The 8,444-nt window shown below is 38.8% G+C and overlaps 1 pseudogene; it reads right to left on the reverse strand.

Annotated features, from left to right (window-relative positions):
* Positions 610–1,637, reverse strand: RPL5P3 (ribosomal protein L5 pseudogene 3; annotated as a pseudogene).

Genomic DNA, 8,444 nt, shown 5'->3' on the forward strand with positions numbered 1-8,444 from the left:
CAAAAAACAATTGTTTTAATTAGCCAAGTGTGGTGGCATGGCATCTACAGTCCCAGCCACTTGGGAGGATTGCTCAAGCCCAGGAGTTCAAGGCTACAGTGAGCTATGATTTTGCCACTACATTCGGTGAGCTATGATTGTGCCACTGCACAGCCTGGGCGACAGAGTTAAGAGCCTGCCTCTAAAAAAATTAAAAATAAACATAAATAAATAAATATTATGATAAATTGACTTCCTCTTTTCCAATTTGGATGCCCTTATTTCTTTATCTTGCTTAATTGCTCTGGGTAGGGCTTCCAGCACTATGTTGAATAAGAGTGGTAAGAGTGGGCATCTTTGTCTTGTTCCAACTCTTAGAGGAAAGGATTTCAGCTTTTCCCCATTCAGTATGATGTTAGCTGTGGGTTTGTCATATATGGCCTTTATTGTGTCGAGTTTTGTTCCTTCTAAGCCTAGTTTGTTGAAACGTTTTATCATGAAGCAATGTTGAATTTTATCAAATGCTTTTTCTGTGTCTATTGAGGTGATCATATGGTTTTTATGCTTCATTCTATTCATATGGTGTATCACATTTATTTGTGTATGTTGAACCTATGTGGCATTTTTTTAAGTTGCTGTCCACAAGTTTATTGTCTTTATCTGAAAAATCCTCATAGAAAATTGTTTGGTTTAGCTCTCAGCAGCCCACTCCTGAGCTCTGAGGAAGCTTGCCTTCTTCTGAGTTACCCGATCTTTCTTCTGAGCAAGGGACATTTTGGGACAGTGCCACCTCTTCTTTTTAACTTTTTTTCTTGGGCTTCTTTTCATAGACTGGATTCTCTTGTATAGCAGCATGAGCTTTCTAACACATCTCCTCCATCATGTCTGGAGTTATGCTGTTCTTTATGTATTGAGAGAACTGTTTCTTGTAAGCATCTTCATCTTCTTGCATTAAGTAGCACGTATAATCTGCAACATTCTGGCCCATGATGTGCTTCCAGTGTACTTCTGCATTAAATTCCTTGCTTTCAGAATCATAACCAGGGAATCGTTTGGTACCATGAGGGATAGACAAGCCTCCATCCACAGCCCCCTTCAGGGCACCAAAAACTTTATTGCCACTGGTAGTTCTGGCAAGGCCTGCATCCAAATAGCACGTAAAGGCACCTGGCTGACCATTAATGCTTTCCACATTGTATTCATCGCCAGTCACCTCCACTTGGGCTTCATAGATCTTGTCCATGCCAAACATATTGAAAAGCCTGCGGGCCAGCAGCAGGCCAGTACAATATGCTGCAGCATAATTTGACAAGCCAACCTTCACACCATATTTTGGCAGTTCGTGTGCATATGCTGGCCAGAGTATCATACCCCCTCTATACAGGCGTAAGCAATCTGACAAATGATATCTCTGTTTGTTACATGAACTATCATCCTATATTTGAGTGTATTGTATTTATTTTTATCCTGTATCACCAAGCGTTTCCAAACTTAGTAATCAGTTTTACCCTCTCATTGTCTTCTAAATTTCACTTGGTATCTCTTAAAGTAGGCCTTATTCTTAACAACTTTAACAAACCACATCCTGGGGAACAAAAGACCCGCGTCCGCGGCTCAACAGAGACCTGCAGGCCCAGCAGTGCTAGGGGGCGGAAAGGCTACATGGCATTATTAATGTGTATTTTAATCCAATATATTTCAATCCCATTGGATATTGTTGTTTTTTTAAAGTCAGTAATCATTTAGAGCTCCTCATATATTCACCACTTATTTTGCTCTTCATTCCTTCTTATAACTCGGAACTTCCTTCTGGAATCACTCTTTTATAGTCTAAATATTATATAGCCTTTAGAAATTTTTAGTGCTGTCCTTGTGATGGAGAACTCACTCAGGTTTTTTTTATTTATTTATTTTTTTTGTGAGACAAAGTCTCACTCTGTTGCCAAACTGGAGTGCAGTGGCGCGATCTCAGCTCACTGCAACCTCCCCTTCCCAGGTTCAAGCGATTCTCCTACCTCAGCCTCCTGAGTAGCTGGGACTACACCCATGGTGTGCACCATCATGCCTGGCTAAAGTTTTTTGTATTTTTAGTAGAGATGGGTTTCACTATGTTAGCTAGGCTGATCTTGGACTCCTGACCTCGTGATCTGCCCACCTTGGCCTCCCAAAGTGCTGACATTACAGGCATGAGCCACCGTGCCCAGCCAGGTTTTTTAAATCTGAAAGTATCTTTATTTCACCTTCATTTAAAAAAAAAGTGTCATTAAAATATAACAATCATATAGTAAAGTCTACTGTGGGGTAACTACTAGTATGGGACCATCTTAAACCCAAGTTCAGGGCTTGAAATTTAATTTTATGGCTGTTGGATTCTTATTTCTGTTTCCATCTCTCTGTGATATTATCAAAACAAAAGTCCTAGTTTTCCAGGATTGGCAAGCATCAGAGGATCAATGTGGCTTCCGTGCTCTTTTACCTTTCTGGATTCACATTTTTACTTTACTTTGACTTTATAATTCCTTACAGTCATGTTTTGTCTTCGATGCTTTTTAAATGTTTTAATATATTTTATCTAGTTGTTTAAAATTTTTATCCAGTGGGATAGTTAATTCAAATAACATAGTCCTCCATTACTAAGAGCAGAAAGTCCCCATGTTGAATTTTTAATTTTTTGCTATTATAATTTTAATTTTTAAGAGCTGGTTTTTGTTTGTTTTTTGTTTTCTGAATGCACTTCTTAATTAATATCCTGAGCTTCTTTCACAGAGTTTATTTGTAATTTCCCTTTTACCTACATGTCTCATCCTCCAGTCTGTAAGTTCCCTGACCATGTCTGTCTCCTTCCTTCAAGGCTGTATCTCCAACACTTAGAAAAATATCTGGATGAGGCCAGGCACGGTGGCTCACGCCCATAATCCCAGCACTTTGGGAGGCTGAGGTGGGCAGATCACTTGAGGCCAGAAGTTTGAGACTAGCCTGGCCAAAATAGTGAAACCCCGTCTCTACTAAAAATACAAAAATTAGCTGGGAATGGTGGTGCGTGCCTGTAATCCCAACTACTCAGTAGGCTGAGGCACAAGAATTGCTTGAATGTGAAAGGTGGAGGCTGCAGTGAGCTGAGATTGTGCCACCGCACTCCAGCATGGGTGACAGAGTGAAATTCTGTCTCCCCTCCCCACCCCCCAAAATAAAAATATCTGGATGAGTAATAAAGCTTTATCTTGGGTTTTGCCTAGACAAATTAGTCTCATTAAAGCTGGATTCCTATTTCAGAGACGGTTCTCAACTTCTGACTTTTAACATCCTACATCCTGCAGTTTTGAGTCCTATGCACCTCCCAGATGTGAAGTTCAGGCTTTTATAAGCCAGCCATCAAAGAACATTATGAGCTACCCCATCGTGGCTCTGCATAGCAGCCAACTGTTCAGTCTTGTAAGCATCATCATGTGTGCACAGCACAGAGAGTAGAAAAAAAGTAAATCTGATAAAAAATAAAACTCAGTTAAAAAAAAAGAAAAGAAGTGAAACTTCACAAGTACTACAATAGAGTAAAAGATAGGTATCATTAAGCATCATGGAAGTGCCATAAAGAGCAAGAAAAGAACAAAATGTAAAGAACATGTACAAAATGCTGGAAATATATTATCAAAGATGGAATCCAAAAGGCAGGACATGTTACTATGGATTTTTTTATTTTTTATTTTTTATTTTTTGGCTCTCTGGGAATGAAAGTCTTCCATAACACATAAATTTTCCTCTTGAACTTTTGGATTCTTAGCAGATATACAGGAACTCATTGTGCAGTAAAAGATAGGACCACCTATACTAAATAATGTGTGAGGCTCATGAAGAGTCTACATTAGCAATGCAGGTGAAGTTTAATAGTGATCAGGTGTCTGTCTTGAGAACTGATGTTGACCATGGTGACAGTAGGACATGTGGTCTGAGAGGAAAACTTAGATGCATCTGTACCTGTCACAAGCGGGGGATCATACAGGTGTTTTTAAAACTCGCAAGACACCTTGTAAGCAAAGACCTACTGTCATTATCCTGGGAAACATTTCTTAAAGAATGGCCTGAGTAATATGCTAGTTACACTGTATACATGTTTCAATGCATGTATTCAAATGTAACACTAGACCCCATAAATATGTGCAATTATTATATGTCAATTAAAAATAATAAAACTCATCTTTTAAAAAAGAATGGCCTTGGGACACCTACCTCAGAACCACTTGTGGGAATCTTACAGTTTGGTTGCCTGCCTCCATTCCATTTCCTCAGACCCAATCTCTGTGGGTGGGTCCCAGCATTTTTAATAGGCTCCCAGATGAGTCTTCTGCATACCAAGTTGTGGGTCCAATGCTTAGGAAGATGCTGACACTAGACCCATTACCCCTTTGTCCTCTCCCTGAAATCTGGAAAGGAGTCCACTTTAGACTTACCACCATGAGAGTCAAGAGCCCCAGTGATACAAGTCTCAATTAACAAAATTAACAATTTGCAACAACAGAATCAGAAGAAGAATCCAAAGAAATTTTGCAATCAGCTTTGAAAATGCTAACTTTACACATTTTTAAATGTACAAAGCCTGTGCCGTTCTTCCCAAGCCAACATTGGAGTAGCAGATTTGGGAAGTCATTCTTCCAACACTTTTTTGTGAATCGCTAGTCATGTGTCCAGCTGAACATGAACTGGTGTATGGGAAGAGAAGGTGGCCAGTAGCCAAGCATTTCATAAGACTGTGATGCAGACCGAAGGCTTTAAGTATTAGTAAGATTCATGTTTCTGACTTCCACCCTGTGGAATAGACTGCTGACAGTGATGAACATGGTGACATGATAGGACTCATCAACCATGTGTGCGGCAAGCAAGACCTTTGACTTTCAGCTAATCCCAGCTAATCCCAGCACGAAATGTAAAAATGCACAGGTCATTGGCACCATGGTTGGTGGGAAGTGAGGTGTAGTAGCTGAACTTACAAAGCCTGTTACTCTACAATGACCTATGAGATGGACTTGAAGATGCTGCAGCCAAACATGAGCCTGATGATTGATACCCAGCAGAGCCAAGCAAAAGAGAAAACGGAAATATGTCCCTAATCCCACAGAGCTCAGACCTTAATTTGTCTATGTCATACATAATGGATTTGAGTTCAGCTAAACCCATTCAAATCCAGCTGGTTGTTTCAGTCAGTGAATTTACAGCTTGTATTTATGGTCCAAAACAGAAACTATATGAGCATATTTCTCTCTTTTTTTATCTTCTTTCTGTCCACTTTTCTTCCTTTACTCTCTCCACATTGTTTTTTCATATCTTCTCATATCTTGCTGCAAATCCTCTCTCAACGTCAATCATTTTCTCCAAATCTGTCATCTCTTCCTTTGTCTTTTGTCCCAAATCTCTCTGTAGCCCTCTTGCTATCTTCTCTTCCATCCCCTCAGTGCTTGCTCTCCCACACATTTCTCATCATGAAAACACAACTCCCTCCCTCTCATTCCATTATTCTCTGGATGTCTTTGTTTTGTCCCTTTGTGTCTGGGTGTCTCCAGATTTCAGTCTTTCTTTGTGTCCTCATCTTCCAAGACCTTCATGGCCTTTAAAAAAAATCCCTGTATTAATCTCAGTCTCTACAAAGTTATTTCCAGTGGTATTATGTGGCAAGGCATGTGAGCTATTCTGACAAGGAACAGCTAAGGCCCTATGGCAAGGAGAAGAGAGGAACGTGCTATATCCAGCTTATCTCATGCTATCCTGCAGCCCTCAAGGCAGAGACAGTGCTTGGACTGTATTAGGGCCATATATGTTTATTGAACTGGCTGCTGTTACTATGGAGAAAGTCTTAGTATCAGGTAATACCATTTACTGTAAGAAAAGTAGGGTTCAGCAATATAACATTGATATGGCTTTGTGTCCCCACCCAAATCTTGAATTGCAATCCCCGTAATTCCCACATGTCAAGGGAGAGACCTAGTGGGAGGTGATTGGATCATGGGGGCAGTGTCCCCCATACTGTTGTTGTAATAGTGAGTGAGTTCTCATGAGATCTGATGGTTTTATAAGAGTCCGACAGTTCCTCCACACTCTCTCTCTCACCCACTGCCATGTAAGACGTGCCTCTTTCCCTTCCGCCATGATTATAAGTTTCCCGGGGCTTCCCCAGCCACGTGGAACTAGGAGTCAATTAAACCTCTTCTCTTTATAAATTACCCAGTCTTGGGCAGTTCTTTATAGCAGTGTGAGAATGGACTAATACATACATCTTTAAATTTGAAAAATCTTTGGAAACCATGATTTATTTTTTAAAGTCCCATTTTCAAGTGCAAGTAGGTCAACAGCTTTGGCAGGACTTTTGCCTATCTCCTTTTTTATGCATCCACCCATAACTACTATTCTAATACTATTGTCAAGTAACAGAAACCAGAACTCTACAGAGGACAGATGACTCTTTGTTCAGGGAAATTTAAAAAAAATCAGAATGAGCCTGGAATATCCTGTTATTACCAGAAAGTAAAAATCTTATTTTTAAAATGTTAGGAGCAACATCAAAAAGCCAAAGATCCAATTTAAGGTTTCCGCGGACCAAGCTGTGATAATTTTAGCGTGAAATATTATTATTATGGTTATTTGGAACATGTTAAGTCTATAAAAAGTCCATGGATTCATAATTATACTCAACAATTAACATAATTAGTACAAAAATATGGTTGTAATAAAAAATAGGTAACCAATTATGAATATGTTTTTGATAATGGATTTTAACAAGTGAACATTGTTTATATATGGTGATTTTATTTATCCTATTGAATTACTTTCTTATAAAAGATATAAATATATATGCACATATTTATTTCTGAGGAAAAAATAAAATTATGGAACCAAGTAACCTCCTTCAAGAAGAGGGAAGACTGGATTGGTCGGTACTGGGATTAACATATAATAATTTAAGTGAACAAAAAATCCAATATTTAATCAAGATTAATGATCACACAAAATTACCAAGTAGAAGAAAGATCCAACAGGGTTGTCTTAGTGCATTTGGGCTGCTATAGCAAAATGCCATAGATTGTGTGGCTTATAAACAACAAATACTGATTTCTCAAAGTTCCAGAGACTGGGAAGACGAAGATCAAGGTGCAAGCAGATTTGGTGTCTGATGAGGGCCTGTTTCTCTTAGATGGCACCTTCTTGCTGTGTCCTCACATCGTGCTGGGGATGAACAAGCCTCTGGGTTTGCTTTCACATGGGCACTAATCCCATTCATGAGAACAGTTATAATTTAATCACCCCCCAAAGGCCCCTACCTCCTAATCTCATCATATTGGGATTAGGATCTCAGCATATATATCTGGGGGGAACACAGACATTTTATCCATAGCCAGGGTCTTCCAAACAGAGGAATTAGTCAAATGTCCCAGAGAGAAAGAGTATACTACACACATGCAACATCTCATCTCACAGGAAATGAAACCACTAGATGGCCCTGCTCATTTTAATAAAACATCAATAAGGAATATGTAACTCTTTAAAAAGGTAGCCGACCAAGTCAATATATCATACTGATAGGACCTTGGGTTTTGTAACTTTGGCTAAGTGAGATTTTAAAAGTACATCATTTCCTGAAAGACACCAGGTTGTAAAAAAAATAAAACCTAAGTGAAGGTGTGACTTTAAAAATCGTGTTGTAGTAACACCAGGAGTTAACTCAGCCTGATGATGAGTCCTGAGGCCAGACCAAAAATGGATCAGCCAGTACTCCAGATCCTGCAGCCTTGGCTGGGCCAAGCACGTATACTTTTTCTTTCGGGTCTAGTAATATTACTCCACCCCTGGGAAGAAATAAAAATATATTACTGAAACCCTAGGAAGATATTAAAATAAGTATACTAATATCCCCCAGGAAGGTATAAAACAAGCACATAAATTGTCAAAGAAATGAATAAGTCCATTGTTCTGAGACTTTAGAATAGGTTCAAGTGTAAGTATAATATTAATAATAAGCTTTGTAGTCATTGCATTTGTGAAAGTTTTATGATATTTGAAGTGTTGGGGAAAAAATCGGCCATAGTGAATTTATAATTGCATTTTAAATGATTTAAGATAATGCAATCAAATTATAGTCATCTTAAATCATCAAGATAACTTCTTTTTAAAATTTGTATTTATTAGGTAAATGGGTTCAATAATTTGAGCATTAAACAAAATATAGGTTTTTAGTTCCTGAACAAGAAAATTAAGAAACCTGGGCTATAAGGTCCCTTTCCCAAAATTGACCCAGTAGAAATTACAGACAATGATTGAAAACCTTTGTTGCCCATTAGAATCACCCAAGAAGCTTTGAAATCTATTGCTAATCTGGGGCCCTCCTTGGACCAATTGTATCAGAATCTCCAGAAGCAGAATCTGGACAATGGCATTTTAAAAATACCTTTGAAGTCCTTCTAATAGGCAGCCAGGGTTGAGAA

Source organism: Homo sapiens, chromosome 15 (assembly GCF_000001405.40).
Source record: "Homo sapiens chromosome 15, GRCh38.p14 Primary Assembly".
NCBI lineage: Eukaryota > Metazoa > Chordata > Mammalia > Primates > Hominidae > Homo > Homo sapiens.